The sequence below is a fragment of the Homo sapiens genome, chromosome 5, assembly GCF_000001405.40.
Source record: "Homo sapiens chromosome 5, GRCh38.p14 Primary Assembly".
In the NCBI taxonomy this organism is placed as follows: Eukaryota; Metazoa; Chordata; class Mammalia; order Primates; family Hominidae; genus Homo; species Homo sapiens.
In genome coordinates, this window is record NC_000005.10 from 10,339,005 (window position 1) to 10,361,259 (window position 22,255).

Consider the following 22,255-nt stretch of genomic DNA (forward strand, 5'->3'; position numbering starts at 1 on the left):
GGTCCTGGAAATGTTCTATATCTTGATCTGGATGTTGGTTTCAGTTTATTAAGATGAGCACTTACGCTTTGTGCATATTTTTCTGTATGTGTAAATCCTCCATTTAAAAAGGTTCGGATCGCCCCACCCCCACCTTGGCACAGAGCACTGAAATCACGGTCATCTAAGTGAGGCATTCACGGAGATTCAATGGAGACACGATTTACGCTGTTGGTTATTTCATTGCTAAGCAACGCAGTCTAAGCTGCACAACTAAGTGACACCATTAACAGCCAGCATGGTGGGGAGGGGTGGGTGTGCTAAGACAAGGATCCCAGCGTGATGGCCATGGATGATTCCTGCTCCCAGCCCCCATTTTGCTGTTGGAGGTGGGGGCTGGGGGTTGGGGGGGCAGCGAGCAGCACAGACCAAACAGAAGGCCTGGCCCCTCCTGGCGTGGGCTGGCTGCAGTGAGCCCTTCCTATGTCTGCCTGCTGCATCCATCGCTATGGCAACCACTTCCCCAGCACCGGGGCTAAAATCAGGTTCTGTGGGTGTCTCGGCAGTGATTGGAGATCTCCCCTGCCATAGAATTGAGTGGCCTGATGAGGAGACAAAGAAGTCACTGCAGGGAAAGGCCGAGACTCGCTAAGCAGGGCCATTCCTGCCAAAGTTGCACAGATTTGAGGCTGGCGCACAGGCCTCAGAGAGAGTGGTGAAGGCTGTCTGAAGGCAGGGGTGGGCAGGATGCCAAAAGAAAGACCTAAGGACTGGTTAAAACGAAAACGATGTGGAGATAAACAAAGACCACCCAATGAGAACAAGCAAAGGCTATTCAGGGCTTGCTGTAGAAAAGGAGGCGGCTGCCATTCCTAGTGCTTGGCAGAGACTTGAAGGCAGGCAGAGGAGTGGAAAGCTTCATAGTGGAGGAGGAGAGGCTCCAGGTGTGCCCTGAGTGAAGGCTGCTGGCCTGGGGAAGCCTCAGGTGGCTCACCAGAAGCGAGGCATCCAATGCGACTGGTTAGGGGAGCATGTTGGGCTTTCTCTGGTCCTAAGTTGGAAGCAGCAGGAAAAAGTAGGGAAGCCAGTGGTTATTGATGATGTCCTGACTGTTCTGGGCAGATTGCTGTGGACGTTGTGGTTTGGCTTCCTGGACTGGCTGCTGCAGATTGTGGGTCACACTTCTGCTGTCATCTATGGGCTGGCTGCTGTCTGTATATTCTGTCTCTCTATGCAGCAGTTGGGCAGGTCAAGAAAGAGGTCCCTACCATCTATCAATGAGGAGATGGGGCCCTTTGCAGTGTAGGGACACAGCTGTGAGGGCTACCCCAGGAGAAGCAGGACATGAAGCCTCACAGGAAGGAAGGCATAACAATGCCCTTTTCTGTTTGGGGAATACAGACAAGAAGAAAGGTCTATACATGTTTAGTACAGATGAACCAGTCCTTGATCCACAGTTGGTTGAAGTCGTGGATGCAGAACCCATGAGTACAGAGGCACAACTATATATTTAAAGAGACTTATCTGTTAGAGAGCTACTCATCTGGGCCTTAGGGAGCTGACCTGATACCCATTGTAACCACACGCAGCACAGGAGTTTGAAACTCTAGGCAAGGGAGGTAAGTGAGGTTAAATATCTGGCTGAACTCAGAAATCTCCAAGGAGCCCCACATGCTTTTGTGACACAGGCCCTGGGGCCATTTCTCAACTGCAGCCACTCAGGAGGTGTGAGGCCTGGGCAACTCTGCACCTGAGTGTTCTCCGCCTCCGCCCTGGCCTCCTTGGTTGGATGGTGCTTGCATTCAGCAAGTGCTCCGTCCATGCTAGATACTGTAATTATTTTCGAGCTTCTGAATAACCGGTTACAATTTCAATTAAAAATATTTTTAGAATCAATGTCAGTCTCTGTTGGTGCAGCCATGAACTAAATGTCAGAAGCCTGGACTCAGAGTCGGGGAGGGAAGTGGATGGAAGGGCCAGCAGTAGAAACACAGCACCTGTGGGTACCAGGGGAGGGTACATGTAGTCCTGCCTCGGCTATCCGCCCTCCCCTGACTGGCCGATTTCCCCTAGAACTCTGTGTTTTGAGTGAGGGAGGCGCAGTTCTCTAAAAGAAAGGAAGATATTATTGCCAGGAGAAGAAGGAAGGAGAACTTAACAGACAAACATAACATGCACATGCATTCAACGTTTGTGGTCAAATAGAAGACTTAAGCCTAAGGGATCTAGAAATTCTAGTTAGATCCCGAAGTTACATCTAAGCAGTCATAATGGTGATCATTATGTGGCTTCTCCAACTGATGTTGTAAAAATGATTCTCTCCCAGTAAAGCTAGGCAGTAGTTCTTAATCTAACTGTAGCCTTCGCCTTCTTTGAGGACAGAAATCAGGCCTTAGACTTGCCTAATCTGCTTGTTTTGGGGATCTTTCATAGTGTATTATACAGAATAATATACTCAAATGATGTTTGATGATAATTGTCTTGTTTCAGTTCAGGCTGCTATTTCAGAATATCATAGACTGAGTGGCCTAAATCCTATAAGAACACTCACTAATCCCATCATGGGGACCTTGTCTTCACGACCTCATCTAAACCCAATTATCTCCCAAAGGCCTCACCTCCTAGTACCAGCACATTGGGGATTAAGATTTTAACATATGAATTTTGGGGGGACATAAACATTCAGTCCATAAAACAATAAAGACACACGAGAAGCTAACAAGAGATATTCAGCGTCAGAGCTCAATGGTTTCCATGAATAATGGAGTGAGATATACCAGATAATTCCTCAAGGTTCTTTGGATTCCATGTGTCTAAGATAAAAACTCTTAGGAAGAGTTTCACTTTGGAGCAAATATACAATTTCAGGTTAGAAGTCAAAATATCAGATGAAAATGTATGATCTCTCCACAATATCTGTGGGGGATTGGTTTCCAGACCCTGCACCCAAAATCCATGGGTGATCAAGTTCCTTATATAAAATGGTATAGAATTTGCATGTAACCTATACATATCCTCCTTTAAATCATGTCTAGATTACTTATAATGCCTAATACAATGTAAATGTTATGTAAGTTGGCGTACTATATATCTACGTTTGTTTGTTTGAGACAGGGTCTCACTCTGTCGTCCCGGCTGGAGGGCTGTGGCGCGATCACAGCTCACTGCAACCTCGACCTCCTGGGCTCAAGTGAACCTCCCACTTCAGCCTCCTGAGTAGCCAAGACTACAGGCACACGCCACCATGCCTGGCTAAAAAAATTTTTTTGGTAGAGATGGGGTCTATGTTGCTTAGGCTGGTCTCAAACTCCCGGGCTCAAGCAATCCTCCTGCCTCAGCCTCCCAAAGTGCTGTGATTACAGGTGTGAGCCACCATGCTTGGCTTGTCATACTATTTCATTTAGGGAATACAGACAAGAAGAAAAGTCTATACATGTTTAGTACAGATGAACCTATTCTTGATCCACAATTGGTTGAATCCATGGATGCAGAACCCAAGAACAGGGAGGGCCCGCTGTAGATTTATTTATTTATTTACATAGTTTTGAGACAGAGTCTCACTCTGTTGCCCAGGCTGGAGTGTAGTGGCACGATGTTGGCTCACTGCAGCCTCTGCCTCTCAGGTTCAAGTGATTCTCCCACCTCAGCCTCTCGAGTAGCTGGGATTACAGGTGTGCGCCACCATGCCCGGCTAATTTTTGTATTTTTTTAGTAGAGATGGGTTTCACTATGTTGGCAAGGCTGGTCTTGAACTCCTGGGTTCCAGTGATCCTCCCTCCTCAACCTCCAAAAGTGCTAGGATTAGAGGTGTGAGCCACCGCACCCAGCCCCAACTGTATATTTAAAGAGACTCATCAGTTAGAGAGAGACTCAACTGCATCCTAGGGAGCTGACCTAAGAATCACTGTAGCCATATGCAGCACAGGAACCTGAAACTCTAGGCTCAGCTGCAGCCTTTTCAGTGATGAAGTCAATGCTTAAGTCTAGACTAGTAATGAATAAGGTAGCTGTAAGTAAGAATAGTTCATCACCCACTGCTGGGTTTGCATCCTCCTCCAAATAGGCCCTCCTTATTTGCTTCCTGTGGCTGCTGTAGCAAATTATCACAAACTGGGAGGCTTAAAACAACAGAAATTTATTCCCTCCCAGTACTGGAGTTGAGAAGTCTGAAATCAAGGTGTTGGCAGGGCCACATTTCCTGCCGAGGCTCTGAGAATCCATTCCTTGTGTCCTTCAGCTTCTGGTGGCTGCCAGCATTCCTTGGCCTGAAGCTGCATCATTCCAGTTTTTGCTTGAACCCAGGAGGCAAAGGTTGCAGTGAGCCGAGATTATGCCACTGCACTAAGAAAAAAAAAAGAAAAGAATTGGAGATTGACACAGACATAAAAAGGAGGTTTTATCTTACTGGAAAAATTATGGGAGAATTTTGTGATAAAGAGCTTAGAAGGTTTTGTAAAATAAACTTATCTTTATAAATAACAAGAATGTTTTTAATAGCATGAACTTTCAAATTTCAGAATAATTTTAAAATTTGGCTGTCCTGCTTAATGACTAAGATAAGAAGGAAAGGATCTGAGGACTTACTCCATAGAATACTCAATAAATGGTGAGACTTGGCAGCCACCACTTTAACCAAGTACTCAAACTCAGAATGTGAATCATGGCACAACCTGACTTTCTGGCCTCCAGATGTACTGTAATATGAAAAACACATAACCGGCCAGGCGAGGTGGCTCACGCCTGTAATCCCAGCACTCTGGGTGGCCAAGGTGGGCGAATCACTTGAGGTCTGGAGTTCAAGACCAGCCTGGCCAACATGGTGAAACCCCTGTCTCTACTAAAATACTAAAAATACAAAATTACAAAAATTAGCTGGGTGTGGTAGTGTGTGCCCATAATCCCAGCTGCTCGGGAGGGTGAGGCAGGAGAATAGCCTGAACCTGGGAGGTGGAGGTTGCAGTGAGCCAAGATCACACCAGTGCACTCCAGCCTAGGCAACAGAGCGAGACTCCATCTCAAAAAAAAAAAAAAAAAAAAAAGAGAAAAGAAAAATGCATAATCATCTATCAAATATTCTTGCAAAAACATGTTTAACTTGAATCAGATTAAGCCTCTAAGCCTACCTGCTAGTTTATAGGAAATACAGGGGCTAAAGGAACAAGCTAATGACACCAAGAGGAATCAGTCAGATAAATCTATAATGAAGGACATTCATTGCATGAAACAATTGTTCTATGGTCTTCCAAAAGGCATTGTCATTGGAAAACAAAAAGTACTAGGACCATTCTAGACTAAAGGAGATGGACTATCGAGACCAAACCAGTGGCAATAAGGGAAACCAGATTGGACCCTTGTTAAACAAACAAAATTATAAAGGTCATGTTTGGGACAATTAGAGAAACTTTAGAGTCTATATATTATTATGGTGTGGAAATCATTTTCAAGGAGATTATTCTAACCTTAGGAGATACATGCTAAAGTATTTAGGGGCAAAGATGTTCAAATATATATACTTTGGCGAGGCTCGGTGGCTTGTGCCTGTAATCCCAGCACTTTGGGAGGCCAAGGTAGGAGGATCACTTGACCTGAAAAGTTTGAGATCAGCCTAGCTAACATGGTGAAACCCCATCTCTACTAAAAGTACAAACATTAGCTGGGTGTGGTGGTGCACATCTGTAATCCCAGCTACTTGGGAGACTGAGGCACCAGAAGTACTTGAGCCCAGGAGGCGGAGGTGACAGTGGGCTGAGATCGCACCATTGCACTCCAGCCTGGGTGACAGAGTGAAACTGTCTAAAAACAAAACAAAACTATATGTATATACATATTTTTGGAACTGTATATATAATATACGTATATTATATATAATATATATAGTTCCTTTCTGTATCATTGGAAATATATAATATATGTTATATATATAACATATAACATATATAATATATATATAAAACATATAACATATATAATATATTATATATAACATATAACATATATAATATATTATATATAACATATAACATATATAATATATTATATATAACATATAACATATATAATATATTATATATAACATATAACATATATAATATATTATATATAATATATGGTATATATTTCCATATATTATATATAATAAATATATATTATGTATAACATATATAATAAATATATATTATGTATAACATATATAATAAATATATATTATGTATAACATATATAATAAATATATATTATGTATAACATATATAATAAATATATATTATGTATAACATATATAATAAATATATATTATGTATAACATATATAATAAATATATATTATGTATAACATATATAATAAATATATATTATGTATAACATATATAATAAATATATATTATGTATAACATATATAATAAATATATATTATGTATAACATATAATAAATATATATTATGTATAACATATAATAAATATATATTATGTATAACATATATAATAAATATATATTATGTATAACATATATAATAAATATATATTATGTATAACATATATAATAAATATATATTATGTATAACATATATAATTAATATATATTATGTATAACATATATAATTAATATATATTATGTATAACATATATAATTAATATATATTATGTATAACATATATAATTAATATATATTATGTATAACATATATAATTAATATATATTATGTATAACATATATAATTGATATATATTATGTATAACATATATAATTGATATATATTATGTATAACATATATAATTGATATATATTATGTATAACATATATAATTAATATATATAACATATATTATGTATAACATATATAATTAATATATATAACATATTATGTATAACATATATAATTAATATATATAACATATATTATGTATAACATATAATTAATATATATAACATATATTATGTATAACATATATAATTAATATATATAACATATATTATGTATAACATATATAACATATATTATGTATAACATATATAACATATATTATGTATAACATATATAACATATATTATGTATAACATATATAACATATATTATGTATAACATATATAACATATATTATGTATAACATATATAACATATATTATGTATAACATATAGTATATATATTATGTATAACATATAGTATATATATTATGTATAACATATAGTATATATATTATGTATAATATATATATTACATTATGTATAATATATATATTACATTATGTATAATATATATGTTACATTATGTATAATATATATTATATTATGTATAATATATATATTATATTATGTATAATATATATAATATTATGTATTTTATATATTATATTATGTATAATATATATATTATGTATAATATATATAATATTATGTATTTTATATATTATATTATGTATAATATATATATTATGTATAATATATATAATATGTATAATATATATATTATGTATAATATATATATTATGCATAATATATATTATGTATAATATATAATATTATGCATAATATATATTATGTATAATATATAATATTATGTATAATATATATTATACATAATATATAAAATATATTATGTATAATATATATTATGTATAATATATAAAATATGTTATATATAATATATAAAATGTTATGTATAATATATAAAATGTTATGTATAATATATAAAATATATGTAATGTATATTATGTATAATATATGTAATGTATATTATGTATAATATATAATGTATATTATGTATAATATATATCATAAACATGTATCTTATGTATAATATATATCATAAACATGTATCTTATGTATAATATATATCATAAACATACATTATGTATAATATATATCATAAACATACATTATGTATAATACATATCATAAATATGTATAATACATATCATAAATATTATGTATGATACATATCATAAATATTATGTATGATACATATCATAAATATTATGTATGATACATATCATAAATATTATGTATGATACATATCATAAATATTATGTATGATACATATCATAAATATTATGTATGATACATATCATAAATATTATGTATGATACATATCATAAATATTATGTATGATACATATCATAAATATTATGTATGATACATATCATAAATATTATGTATGATACATATCATAAATATTATGTATGATACATATCATAAATATTATGTATGATACATATCATAAATATATATTATGTATGATACATATCATAAATATATATTATGTATGATACATATAAATATATATTATGTATGATACATATCATAAATATATATTATGTATGATATATATCATAAATATATATTATGTATGATATATATCATACATATATATTATGTATGATATATACCATACATATATATTATGTATGATATATACCATAAATATATATATGTATGATATATACCATAAATATATATTATGTATAATATAGTATATATTAGATATAATTATACATAATATATGTAATCATACATAATATATTATATATTATATATAATAATTATATATAATATACATAATATATTATATGTAATCATACATATTATATATTATATATAATAATTATATATATTATACATAATATAATGTATAATATATATAATTATACATAATATATTATATATAATATATAATAATTATATATAATTATACATATTATGTATTATATTTAATAATTATATATAATCATACATAATATATAATATGTATAATTATATATAACATAAAATATATAATATGTATAATTATATATAACATAAAATATATAATTATATATAACATAAAATATATAATTATATATAACAAAATATAAAATATGTTATATATATTATACATAATATACAATATATAAAAATATAATATCAAATATATAATATATATATTTCCAAATGATACAGAAAGGAATGATATCATTAAAATAAATATGGCTAAATATTAACAATTGTTGAATCTAGGTTGGGCATGCAGGTGTTCATTATATGAATCCTTTAACTTTTCTGAATATTTCAAAATGTTTATAACAAAAGTTTGGAGAAAAGAACAACTGGTCTTCAAGGCCTTCATTTTAGTGACAATCTGGGTTAAATTGTAAGTAATTTTTATGTGAATATTGTATAAGAAATACATGGTGCTCTATTTTGATTATTTGATTTAACTCGGTGTATATCACTGTTGAGCATATCTGCATGAAGTACTGAAAATGAATTCATTATAACCAAGAAATCCCGATGTAAGAGCATAGACACACTAACCCTAATGTATGTTTGTTACTGGATTGATTTTTCAGCTATGGTATGAATTTGTCTTTTCCTAAGAAAAGCATTCACACACATGTTGCTATTTCAGTGACATAAAGTATCTCCTGGAAAATCATACATTACTCATTCAGCCAAAATTTAGTGACACCCTACTATGTGTCAAGCCCTGTGTTGGCCTTAGGGATACATCAGTACATGAAATGAGGCCTCTGCCATTGGGAAGCCACAGGCCGCAGACTCTCACATGCCTAAGGACAGCCGTGCCCTTGCCCATGGAAAAGTGCAGGGTTCTCTGAAGATTTTGCTTGCATGTAACCTAAAAATTATGCATTGCATATCCTCATTTCTTGATGAATACAATTTTATATTTTATGTTTAAATGGTGGCAAAAGATGTAATTCCAGTTTAAAAATTGAGATTTTAAAATAAAATTGTTTCATTACTCTTTTTTAAATAGTCATAGTGTAGTAGCTTTATAATCTGTGTTTGCTAACTTCCATACCTGAGGTCTTTGTGGATGGTTTCTGCTACCTGTTGTGTGTTAGTTCTTGTGCTACGTGTGTGTTGTCACACACACACACACACACACACACACACACATCTATCTGTCAAAGAATCTCCACAAATAAATTTCTAGGGACAATGAGTAGCACACAGGTATATTCTTCCACAGAGAATTTGTGTTTGCTTTTGCCAGGTGCTTAGGGGGTCCCAGCAGTCCAAGATTACATCAAACTAAACTCACTGCTTAAGATTATTGGATCACTAGGGTATGAATTTGGGGTACAGTCTATGCCAGGGCTGATTCATGGCCATAACTTTTCTGGAACTTTTAAAAAATAAGGCTCAGATAAGTTTCCTAAAAGTCTCCAGGAGAAGTCAGATTTACTTGGTTCACCATTCCCCTGAGAGAGCAGCTGTGTGGGTCTTGGGCGAGGCTCCTGGTGGAAGGTCTCTTAACAGATGCCTTCCCTTGGGCAGGCTCTGGGCTTTGACAGTCGTCCTTTTTGCTGCTAGAAACTGTCAAATAGAAGTTCAAGTTTGCCTGGTTCAGCAAAACAAAAGCAGCCTTCATGTTCCATTTACTTTTTGGTATTCTCTCTTGTCCTTAGATTTTGGCCTGGTAGGCCAGGCATGGTGGCTCATGCCTGTAATCCAGCACTTTGGGAGGCTGAGGCGGACGGATCACTGGAGGTCAGGAGTTTGAGACCAGCTTGGCCAACATGGTGAAACCCTGTCTCCACAAAAATTCAAAGATTAGTCAGGAGTGGTGGCACATGCCTGTAATCCCAGCCACTCAGGAGGCTGAGGCGGGAGAATTGCTTGAACCCAGAAGGCAGAAGTTGCAGTGAGCAGAGATCACACCACTCCAGCCTTGGCAGCAGAGTGAGGGAGACTCTGTCTCAAAAAAAAAAAAAAAAAAATTTTTGGCCTGGTAGTTACCTTACTATTTTTGTCAGGCGTTCAGTGCTTTTAGGAATCTGTTTTCTATATTTTATATAGAATTTCCAATTGTTGGTCTAAAAAACCCAGTCTGCCATAGTCTTAGAAAGGGAAGCGAACATCACCACTTTTCTCAGTACTTTAAATGAGAGGTTCTTTTAACCTAGGATTCATGCATGGAGTTCAAGGCATCTATATACCCCCCTGAAATTTCATGCAATGTTTTGTGTTTAACCAATTTTTTCTGGGAACAAAATCCATAGATGTTATCAGATTGTTAAAGGTGCCAGTGATAGAGACACCCTCAAATTTGATAACTATTGCTTTAGAGTTCTATCAGTACCTAGTAATTTTAATTAAAAAATGATTTTAGAATGATTTCAAACTCACAGAAAAGTTCCAAGTAGAGTGCAAGACAATCTCCACATTGTCGTCACCCAGATTCGCCAATGTTAACTCTGCCCTGACCCCACACACAATTAGTCTTTTTCTGAACCATTTGGGAACAAGCTTCAGACCTGAGTCCACGTTACCCCTAAATGCTATAGTGGGTATTTCCCCAAACAAGGATCTTCCAAATCAAGAAGTTAACATCGCTACAAGACCGTTCACAGAATCTATATAAGTTTCAATTTTTCAATTTCAACTGTCCCAAGAATATATTTTTTAAAAAATTGGACTGGGTGCAGTGGCTCATGCCTGTAATCCCAGCACTTTGGGAGGCCGAGGCGGGTGGATCACGAGGTTAGGAGTTCAAGACCAGCCTGGCCAAGATAGTGAAACCCCATCTCTACTAAAAATACAAAAATTAGCCAAGCATGGTGGTGGGCACCTGTAATCCCAGCTACTCAGGAGGCTGAGGCAGAGAATTGCTAGAACCCAGGAGGCAGAGGTTGCAATGAGCTGAGATCACGCCACTGCACTCCAGCCTGGGCAACACAGCAAGACTCTGTCTCAAAAAAAAAAAAAAGTGTGTAATATTTACTTCACAGGATTGCTATGGATGTTCATTGGACATAATAAGGAGTTTGGTTAGTTGTCATTGTTAGTTTGTTACAGTTACACTGTGTCCCCCTACACTTCCCCTCTTACTCATTGCTTATTGGGGTATGGAAAGCCAGCATTGCTATAGCATTCTCGCAGCACAGTACACACACACACACACACACACACACACACACACACGAGGCTGGAATCATGGGTATACTATGTCTTTAATAAAGGATCTTTCTTGGCCAGGCACAGTGGCTCACACCTGCAATCCCAGCACTTTGGGCGGCCATGGTGGGCGGATTGCTTGAGCCCAGGAGTTCAAGACCAGCCTGGGCAACATGGTGAAACCCCATCTATACCAAAAACAAACAAACAAAAAAACAAACCACAAAAATTAGCTGGGCGTCATATGCCTGTAGTCCCAGCTACTTGATACTCGGGAAGCTGAGGTGGGAGGATCACTTAAGCCAGGGTGGTGGACTGTTGCAATGAGCCAAGATCATGCCACTGCACTCCAGCCTCGGTAACAATGTTTCAAAAAAAAAAAAAGTATTTTTCTTGATTGGACAATGAGAATTCTAATTGTAATGGATATCTATTGTTTGGTCCTCCCCCTTCTTGTGGGAAACGGTCTTTCTCTACTTCCACAAGGTAGTGTACATTGTTCTTACCTGAAATGGCAGTTACAAGAACATGACAATGTCCATGTTCTTAAAGATCCTAGATCTTTGGCACAATCATTTGATTCACGGACAGGCAACTAGCTGGACCAATGAACTAGCCTTCCCTGAGAATTTTTAACTTGGGACTAGAGATCATCATCCTTACCTCGCCTGTCTGATGATGAGGCAGAAGATGAAATGTTGGGAGCTGTCAGTGGCCTTGTTTCCAGACATATGGAGGAAGCTGGTCTAACAGCATGAAGCCAATGTGCAGAGAGAGTTGCAGAGCTGAGCCATAGGGGCAGAGGCATTCTCGTTCTAGTAGTCCCAGCAGTCCCTCCCCTTCTTGGAGTCTGTCCATATCAACAGTACATTCCTCCCTTCTGCCTAACAGTTGAGTTCCTGTCAATGGCAACCAAGAGAGGTGTGACTGATTCATGTATTCAAAGGGCTGTTGTGAGAACTTGTGCCTGACTCACAGTGGGGACTCAACAAATGTTGGTTTATTACTCTTATATTTAACGCCTAAAGTCTGAATGCGAAAAGGTTAGGGCAATTCCAGAAGGAATTACTATGCAGAAGGGAAAACTGGTTGACAGGTTAACTTTCCTTTGAACATCACAAGGGAAGGCACCTAAATACAAAAGGAAGGCTTCCTCCACGCCCCCCATACACACACATTCCCTTCATCCTAACCTGGCTCTGCAGCTCCGAGGGTCACATACCTGCCCTTGGCACTACTAGTACTTCCTCCAGCAAGTCTCAGTCTTTCTTTCAGAATCCTTCGCCCTTATGCCATGTAACATCTGATCGGCCCGGTCTTTGCCCCTAGTATCAGCAGGCCAATACGTGCTCTGCTACAGGTCTTACAGGGAGGGTGAGCTCTTGGAGTTGGATCAGAAGGAGAGGGGCTGGGGAAAGATCGTCTTCAAATTGTTTCTTTGGCGGTAGTATATATAAACATATTTAGGCAGGGCATAGTGGCACATGTCTGTAACCCCAGCACTTTGGGAGGCCGAAGCGTGAGGATCGCTTAAAGACAGGAGTTGAAAATCATACTGGTCAATATAGTGAGATTGCAGTGAGCCATTATCGCGCCACTGCATTCCTGCCTGGGTGACAGTGCGAGACCCCTTCTCAAAAAAAAAAAAAAAAAAAGAAAGAAAAAAATCATAAGCAAACAACAACAAAAAAACAAATATAAAGAATGGCGGTCTGCTTAATTCTCCGTGCCAGCCCTTGAAATCAGTGGGTATTATTATGTAGAGTTTGAGTTCTTTCCTCCCTTGAGTAACATGAGTGACATCAGTAACATTAGTCAAGCGCTGCTCTTTTTGAAAGACTGTATTTCATTATTTTTATTCTAAACCTTACTCTGTTTGATGAAGATTGGGGGAAGAGCCCTCCCAATTCCACCGCTCACACATAACAGCGGTTGCTAGCATTCTTTATTTGTGCTAGGTCATCTGCATATTGTTTAAACATTTTTCGAGGCTGGAAAGACTGCTCCCACTCAGGCAATTCTGACGTGGCGGCCCTTCTAATTTATATTCTCTAAATAATTCTTCATTTAGAGAAAACAGTCAGGGATTACAGTGAGGGAGGGTGACGTGCTGACGGGGACAGAGCTTGGCTTTTGATCATTCTCCCCTTAGCTCTGCCCAGGCAAGCGTCCCTAACTCAGGGTATCGGAACCGATCTCCCTTAGAGGATTATGTTTCAACCACCAGCCTCAGCGGTTTACTCAAATGTCCTTCCAGCCAAATGCAGAAGTCTCCCTGGGAGTAATTTTGGTGAAGTCAGCTTTTGCCTTTTTCATCACAGGCAGGCTTTAGTAGTTCCTCAAAACGTGCACCACAACTGCCCGGCTGCCAAACAGAAATGCTGATGCCTGGGCCCACTCTAGCCATTTGGCCTCGGCATCACGGTGCGGGAGCGTGGGGCGCAGACTCGCATTGTCACAGGAACCTCCCGGCCTTCCGAAGAGCCCCGCGCCGGGGCCTTTGTCTCGCACGTCGGCTGGGGCGGGAGCTAGGTTCTCGCAGCCTCCTCCCACCGCTCTGCGCCTTCTTTGTCCCTCCAGAAGCCGCCATCAAAGCTCAGCTCCTGATTAGGTTTCGGCCCCGCTGGCCGGCGCAGTCTCGGCGACTACCCCAGGCGGCCTGGCGCACGCGAGGATTCGCCGCGCCCCAGATGCAGGTGCCTCCCCTCCTTAGCCGCCGACCGACAGTGCACGCCGCGGCCGCCGGAAGTGACAGCGCCTGTCGTTGGGGAGCTCCCGCCCCTTCCGCCTCGGCGCCCCGCCCAGGCCTCGCCCCTAGGTGTTCCCGCCCCTCCCCCTCCCGTGTCGCTCGCTTTCTGTCAGCCTCTCTCCCTCTCCCTCTCCCCTCTCCTTCCTCTCGCTTCCTCTCTCGCACCTGAGCGTACGCACCTGCCCGGGCCCGGCTCCCTCCTCCTCTCCCCTCCCTCTTTCCCCGCCCGGCCGCGGGAGCCTCGTGGCTGCGTCACCGCCGCCCCCCCAGACAAGATGGACACCGCGGAGGAAGGTAAGTCGGCGACGCGCGGCGCCCGAGCCCTTGCGTCGGCGCCCGGGTTCGTACCCCGGCCAGGTCCGCGGCGCTCGAGGTGGGCTGCTGGATCGCGGCGGGGCGGACGCCTGGGCCGTTTGTCCACCCGCTGGGCCTCTGGGCCGGGGAGCGGAAGGTGACCCTCTGCGCGCCCCCCGCCGTTTCCCGCCCGCGCCGCCGAGGGGGGCGGGGACCCTGCCGGGCAGGGGCCGGGGCCGGGGTCGGGGCCTCGGGGCTACTGCAGGCCGGCGTGGCCTCCCTTGTCCCCGCCGTCGCGCGCTGGCCCAGAAAAGGGGGCCTCTGTCGCTGCCGTCCGGGGGCGTTTTCCGCACCCTTCCCCCACTGGGTTTTGTCTTTCTTTACGTCCTTCTGCCTATTGCTCGCCAGGCCCTACCCCCTCGCGACAGAACTTCTTTGTTGACTTTGAAACTTCGCGAAAAATACCCCGCCAGATGACGGCCGAGTGGAGTGAGCTGACCCCTGTTGAAAAGCCTGGTCCTCGGCTTGCCTGCCGCTCGAGAATCTGTTTACTAAACGGGGAGGCTCTTTTGTTGCGATCCATTTGGTTTTAAATCCTTGACACCTATAAGCAGGGTTCTGTTTGTTTTGTTTTGCGATTGCTTGTGTTTTGGATACGGTTACATTGAACAAACTGACCCTTGTAAAATGAATACTTAAGATATAAACGTCCACACCTTATGTCTCTTCAAACGCATTTTCTTACCCACTGAAGGTAGTAGATTATTTTTAACCAGCTGTGTTTTTAAATGAGTGGTGAGTTTATAGAGGAAATTACTAAATTTTGCTTTTTTTGATGTTCCGGTTATCGTGCAAATGCTTTTCTACTTTAGGTATATTTATGGGGGTATGAGCGTCTTTCAACCTTATGGGTTGCGATTTTGGCGATTTTAAACGAAAATGAATTATCAAACGCCGTCATGGAGTGCAATAATGAGTGAAAAAAGTTTGATATTATCTATGTAATGAGTTGATAACGACTTATTTTTTTTTAAAGAAGTCTTGCCTTTAATAAATACCTCAACTATAACATGTGGCACTTGATGTACATTCGCGTTCCATCTTCGTAAAAAGCCTGTGGAATAGGTAGGTATTATCTTTTATAGATGTGGAAATGTAGGCTTCGTTATTTTAATAGCTTGTCGAAGCTTTACACAGGTAGTAAGAGGCAGATTTGAACCTAGGCATTCTGATTGCAAGTAATTTCCCTTTCATTATGCCACAGTGTGTTTATTATATACACTGAGTGTAGCTAATCGCCACTGGAGACGCCTTTGGAAAAAATAGTAAAGCGAAACTGCTGAAGGTTGCGAACTATTTCTTTTTGACAGGTGGTCCTTGCGTGTAAATTTCCATCTACATAGGTTTCACATCCTTTTAGATTCAGGTTTTAATGAGTAAATCTAGTAAGGCATGTATTTATCACAGGATAGGTACGGACGTATTACATTCAATTCTCATTCTTTTGGCCTGGGCATTGCTACTTGCATACTTTTATGGTGTGACAGTAATCTGTGGTAATTCAGGAATTGCGCTCGAAGCACGTATGGAATCATGAAATATTTTCACTGTACTTCTAGTGCTTAAATATATTTTTTCTCTTGTAAAATTATAATCAGGATAAGGTATACATAACATTTATTTATTGAACACTGTTGCCTGTTAAAATAACATGTGCTGAAGACTCAACGTGTAGTATGTGCTTTACTAAACACTTTATATACATTTCATTTAATTCTCTCACATCGTTAGGTAGTCGGCATTTTCATTTTACAGATGAGGAAACTGATGGTTAGTATGATTAAGTAACTTGTCCAGGATAATACAGGTAGTAAATGGCAGAGGCAAGATTCAGACTCATGTCTGTCAGAGTCGCACTTAAATTAGATTATTTATTTATGAGTGTATACTACAAGTCCAATGTTGAAATTTATTTTTGTCACTCCCTCTATAGGATGAATCATTTATATAATTTGGTGGAAACTTTATTTTGCTTTATTTTGTTTTATGAAATTATTAGTCATGAAATGCAAGTGAATTTTAGTGCCGTATTCTCATGCCTGCTTTTGCAAAATTCCAGTTTGGAAGTCTTCTGACATTTTTACAATTAAATTTAAGTTGAAATAACACTTAAAGGAAAAGGGAGGGTTATAGAGGATTAAAAATGATATAGCAAAGATGCCAAAAAACTAATAAAAAATGTTCTATTTGTGAAATCAGTTATTATAGGTTATTTCTTTAAAAAATGCGACTTAGGTTTTTTAAATCTGCTTAGAAATTTTTTGGTAGGAGATATTCAAAGTATGGCCAAACATAAAACTAAATTAAAAAAAAATCAGTATCACCTACTTTTGAAAACACTTATACTGTTGTGGTTCTGTTTTTTATTTATTTTATTTTATTTTATTTTATTTTATTTTATTTTATTTTATTTTATTTTATTTTATTTTATTTTCCGAGATGGAGTCTTGCCCTGTTGCCCAGGCTGAAGTGCAGTGGCATGATCTCTGCTCACTGCAACCTCCACCTCCCAGGTTCAAGCGATTCTCCTGTCTCAGCCTCCTGAGTAGCTGGGATTACAGGAGCGCGCCACCTCCCTCTGCTAATTTTTGTGTTTTTAGTAGAGATGGGGTTTCGCCATGTTGGCCAGACTGGTCTCAAACTCCTGACCTCAGGTGATCTGTCCGCCTCAACCTCCCAAAATGCTGGGATTACGAGCGTGAGCTACCGTTCCTGGCCGGTTCTCTGTCCTTTAAAAATATATTTTAATATTCTGAGCAAAGAGATTAAGAATGTTACAAACACATCAACCGTGCGTATAGTAAGTCTTCCCTTCCTTTTAAAAATAGCACATTGCTTGCCTCTGATGGTACCATATATGATAGTCTGATGCTCAGAATGTTATGCATTTGTAGTAATACTTAGTTCCGACATGGCTGTTTCATACTAATTGTTTGCTAGATTTTAAAGATCTCTAAAGTTTCTTCAGTATTAAATTAATTTTTGTAAAATCAACAGGTTTATAATCCATTCTCATAATACAGGGATGGATAAATCATTCTTACTGTGTATATGTTATTTGTATGAGTGCAGATGTGTTATGTCAACTGCTATCCATCCTGACATTTTTAAACTTCAGAGCTATAGGAGACCTTAGACATTTGCCCTCCTCATTTTATGGGTTAGGAGTCCGATCCTGTAATGCACTGAGATTTCTCAGTTTCAGAGAAAAGTCTATCCTTTGGTCAAGGATATACTTTTTTTTTTTTTTTTTTAAAGGAAAAGCAGTACAATATTGGAATAGATGTTGCAAGTGTTGATGTGCAGTTCTCAAAGATAATATTAAACATTTTGTCATAGAATGCCCACATTTCGGCTCAGTGATATAAAGCTGAGGTTTTTTTTTTTTTCTTTTCCATTTTGCTAAATTACTGCTTGTATTAGCACAACATAATACAAAGTCTTAGTAATTTTATTACAGAATACCAAAGCAGCTGTTCTTTATGCTTTACGGAACATATTCATTCGAAAAGTGTGAAGCTAAAGAGTATTATGGTTGATCATGTTCTATATCACTATGGCAAAAATTTGAGGTAACTTAAATTTGGAAGAAATGAGTTAAAAGGATAGAAAGTTGTCAGAATCAGACAGCTAGTTCCTCTCTTTCTAGACCCACACAGTCTTCTTTGTTTCCAGAGATGTCTGCTGCATGTTTCTTACCACGCATTACCTTTCACTGTTTTGGCATGCTTGTGACCAAGTGTACATGCATTTATTCGTTAAATGTTTACTGAGGACCTGTTATGAGCCAGGCACTATTCTATGCATTTGGGCTAGGCAAGGAACAATATAGAGAAAATCCTTTCTTTCATAGAGCTTACATTATAGTTATTAGCTTAAGACAAAATAAACATGTAAATTATATGGCATAACTAGAAGGTTATAAACGCTGTGGAGAACAGTGAATTGGGAGGGAATAAGAAGTGCCAGGATATGAGGGCATGGGTTGCTTTTTTTTTTTTTTTTTTTGAGACGGAGTCTTGCTCTGTCACCCAGGCTGGAGTGCAGTGGCGCGATCTTGGCTCACTAGGGGTCGCAGTTTTAAATATAGCAGTAAAGGAAGGCCTCACTGAGAAGGAGCAAAGGAGAAGGAGTTAGCCATGCAGATACTCTGGGCAGAGCATTCCAGGCAGAGGGAACATAGCCTATGTGAAGTGTCTAAGATGGGAGCATGCCTAGAGTGTTCAATAAATCACCAGGAGAGCAGTGTAGCTGTAACGGAGTAAAAGAGTTGGAGAAGAGTAAGTATAATATGAGGTCAGAAAGATATGGAGCCAATGGGGAGAGAGCATGTAGGACTTCATTGACTTTTATAGTGAGATAGGGAGCTATGGGAGGGTTTTGAGCTGACGTGAGACATAAATTGTCTTGATATGCAGCCAGCTTTCTGTATTTGTGGGTTTCGCATCTGTGGATTCATCCAATGTCAGATGGAAAATACTTGGAAAAAAATAGATGATTACCTCTGTACTGAACATGTACAGCCTTTTTTTCTTGTCATTATTCCTCAAACAATACAGTATGATGACTACATAACATTTATGTTATAATTATTCTAAGTAATCTAGAGATAATTTAAAGTACAGTTGACTCTTGAACAACATGGGTTTTTGAACTACATGGGTCCACTTACACATGGATTTTTTTCTTCAATAAATATATTGAAAAAAATTTTGGAGATTTGCAGCAATTTGAAAAAACTTGCAGATGAACTGTGTAGTCTAGAAATAGTGAGAAAGTTAAAAAGTTATGTCATTAATGCATAAAATATATGTAGATACTAGTCTTTTACTCACTATCATAAAATATATACAAATCTGTCATGAAATGTTAAAATTTATCAAAACTTACACACACAAACATGTAATGGAGACTGTACATGGCACCATTCACAGTTGAGAGATGTAAAGAAACTTAAAGATACAGTATTAAATCATAACTGCATGAAATTAACCGTAGTGCATACTGTGCTACTGTAATAATTTTGTGGCCACCTTCCGTTGCTGTTGTTGTGAGCTCAAGTGTTGCTGTTGTTGGAGCTCATCTCTCCAGTAAATTGTATATGGTAAAAAGTATCTCTCTGGATTCTCTTGTATTTTTCATTGCATTTAGTGCAGTACCCTAAACTTTGAATAACATGATGGGATCCATATGAGGTGCCACTAAGTGATGCTGGAAGTGCTCCAGGAAGCTGAAAAAAGGCATGACATTATGAAGAAAAAGTCGAATTGCTTCATATGTGCCATAGATTGAGGTTTGTAGCTGTGGTTGCTGGCCATTTCAGAATGATTTATCTTGTAAACAGACAGGTATCAATAAATATGGTACAGTGCTGTAAATGTAATTTCCTTCTGATTTTCTTAATTTTTTTCTCTAGCTTTATTGTAAAAATAAAGTATATAATATAGAATACAGTATATAATATTACAATACATATTGTAAGAATGCAGCATATAATACAGTACGCAATACATATAATACAGTTTATGCATTCATGGCATAATTTTATTTTTTTTGCTCCTTCTAAGCTACACAGTTCATCTTTTTTTAAATTGTTGTGAATTTCCAAAAAATTCTCCAATATATTTATTGAAGAAAGAAATCCGCGTATAAGTGGACCCATGTAGTTCAAACTGTGATGTTCACAGATCTGTACTTTAAATAATCTCCTGAGTACTCATAATACCTAGTATAATGTAATACAAAGGCTGGGTGCGGTGGCTCACGCCTGTAATCCCAGCACTTTCGGAGGCGGTGGCAGGCAGATCACCTGAGGTCAGGAGTTCGAGACCAGCCTGGACAACATGGCGAAACCCTGTCTCTACTAAAAATAGAAAAAATTAGCTGGATGTGGTGGCGGGTGCCTGTAATCCCAGCTCCTTGGGAGGCTGAGACAGGAGAATGGCGTGAACGTGGGAGGCGGAGCTTGCAGTCAGCCGAGATCGCGCCACTGCACTCCAGCCTGGGCAACAGAGCAAGACTCCGTCTCAAAAAAAAAGTAGTACAATATGTGTATTAATCTACTGTTTATGTTGTATTATGTTATGGGAAGGCTTCTGGTCACCAGTAGGCTGTTAGTAGTTTTCCATTAGTAGTTTTTCGGGAGTCAAAAGTTGTATGTGTGTGTGTTTTTTTTTTTTTTTTTTTTTTGAGACAGAGTTTTGCTCTTTTTGCCCAGGCTAGAGTACAGTGGCACCATCTCAGCTCATTGCAACCTCCGCCTCCCAGGTTCAAGCGATTCTCCTGCCTCAGCCTCCCGAGTAGCTGGGATTACAGGCATGCACCACCATGCCTGGCTAATTTTGTATTTTTCGTAGAGATGGGGTTTCATCATATTGGCTTGAACTCCTGACCTCAGGTGATCCATCTGCCTCAGCCTCCCAAAGTGCTGGGATTATAGGCGTGAGCCACCGCGCCCGGCTGTATGTGGATTTTTGATTGTGCAGGAGGTCGGTGCCCCTAACTCTTGTTCAGGGGACTCCTGTATATGGAAGGATGTGCATAGGTTACTTGGAAATACTATGCTGTTTTACATAAGGGACTTGAGCATCTGTGGATTTTGGCACCTGTGGACTTCCTGAAACCAATCCCCCAGGGTTACTGAGTCTATCTCTTTCCTGGTTAAGACAAGTTTTTGTTTGTCTTAAATTCAAATTTCTGGAAGCTACAATCTCACTGGCTCATCTTGGGTCAGTTGCTTATCCTTTTGATCCAGGTAGCTGGGTGGTGGTGGGAAAGGTAATGGAAGAATAAGAATCATGACTGGCTGTGTCCATTCTTGAGCTGGTAAGACAGTGCAAAAGAGATCTGCTATATTGCTCAATTAGAATACTTTTTAGACTGAAGCCCTGTGAGTGATTATTGCTGGGCTATCCTCTTCCAGATGCCTACTTCCCATTTCTTCCAGGCCAGGCTTACTTTAGTGGGTTTTACTTCTGTCCTGTAAGACTATGAAGATCACTTATTTTTAGTATAATACAGTTAGAACAGAAAGAGTTCTTGAAAAGTGAATAGGAAGTAAGAACCCCCCAAGGGAAAACTTAATAATTCAGACTATATTTTAGAATGCTGTTGCAGTAGGCTAGATGAGATATAGGAGTTACATTAAGGTAGAGGGAATGGAAAGAATGGAAAAGAAGAAATAGACCAAGGTAGAATTAATAGAACATAGTAATTGAAGAGGTAATATAAGGAGGAGGAGTTAAAAATGATTGATTTTTATATTATTTCAAATGGGAATGGA

The 22,255-nt window shown here is 38.5% G+C and overlaps 1 protein-coding gene and 1 long non-coding RNA gene across 13 annotated transcripts in view, besides 4 other annotated features; one reads left to right on the top strand and one right to left on the bottom strand.

Annotated features, from left to right (window-relative positions):
• Window positions 1-4,098: 4,098 nt before the first annotated feature.
• MARCHF6-DT (MARCHF6 divergent transcript) lies at window positions 4,099-15,053 on the bottom strand. 2 transcript variants are annotated; one of them, NR_183261.1, is made up of 3 exons: window positions 14,968-15,053; window positions 12,534-12,769; window positions 4,099-4,320 (listed from the first exon to the last, which is right to left on the bottom strand). It is a non-coding gene; the product is annotated as an MARCHF6 divergent transcript (long non-coding RNA). The 2 variants fall into 2 exon arrangements; NR_183260.1 differs by lacking the exon at window positions 14,968-15,053 and adding an exon at window positions 13,093-14,602.
• Window positions 14,250-14,509: an enhancer, noted in NCBI's record as "active region_22353". NCBI's record gives its function as "activates an Ori minimal core promoter by ATAC-STARR-seq in GM12878 lymphoblastoid cells {active_cell/tissue: GM12878}" and the evidence as "EXISTENCE:reporter gene assay evidence [ECO:0000049][PMID:35858748]".
• Window positions 14,650-14,789: a silencer, noted in NCBI's record as "silent region_15919". NCBI's record gives its function as "represses an Ori minimal core promoter by ATAC-STARR-seq in GM12878 lymphoblastoid cells {active_cell/tissue: GM12878}" and the evidence as "EXISTENCE:reporter gene assay evidence [ECO:0000049][PMID:35858748]".
• MARCHF6 (membrane associated ring-CH-type finger 6) overlaps window positions 14,691-22,255 on the top strand; it is an 86,694-nt gene continuing 79,129 nt past the window's right edge. For 8 of the 11 annotated variants that reach the window (XR_925577.3, NM_005885.4, NM_001270660.2 and 5 more), the window contains exon 1: window positions 14,691-14,913. Coding sequence is in view for 7 of the 11 variants with exons in the window: in NM_005885.4 (NP_005876.2) it covers window positions 14,895-14,913 (19 nt within the window). In the remaining 4 variants the exon portion in view is untranslated. Of the gene's footprint in view, window positions 16,039-22,255 lie in introns of all 11 variants that reach the window. The other 3 variants (XM_011513932.3, XM_047416611.1, XM_047416613.1) reach the window with 1 other exon arrangement.
• Window positions 14,830-15,299: a silencer, noted in NCBI's record as "silent region_15920". NCBI's record gives its function as "represses an Ori minimal core promoter by ATAC-STARR-seq in GM12878 lymphoblastoid cells {active_cell/tissue: GM12878}" and the evidence as "EXISTENCE:reporter gene assay evidence [ECO:0000049][PMID:35858748]".
• Window positions 15,356-15,927: an enhancer, noted in NCBI's record as "H3K27ac hESC enhancer chr5:10354472-10355043 (GRCh37/hg19 assembly coordinates)". NCBI's record gives its function as "activates a minimal SCP1, AML or CMV promoter by ChIP-STARR-seq in primed H9 embryonic stem cells {active_cell/tissue: H9 hESC(primed)}" and the evidence as "EXISTENCE:reporter gene assay evidence [ECO:0000049][PMID:30033119]".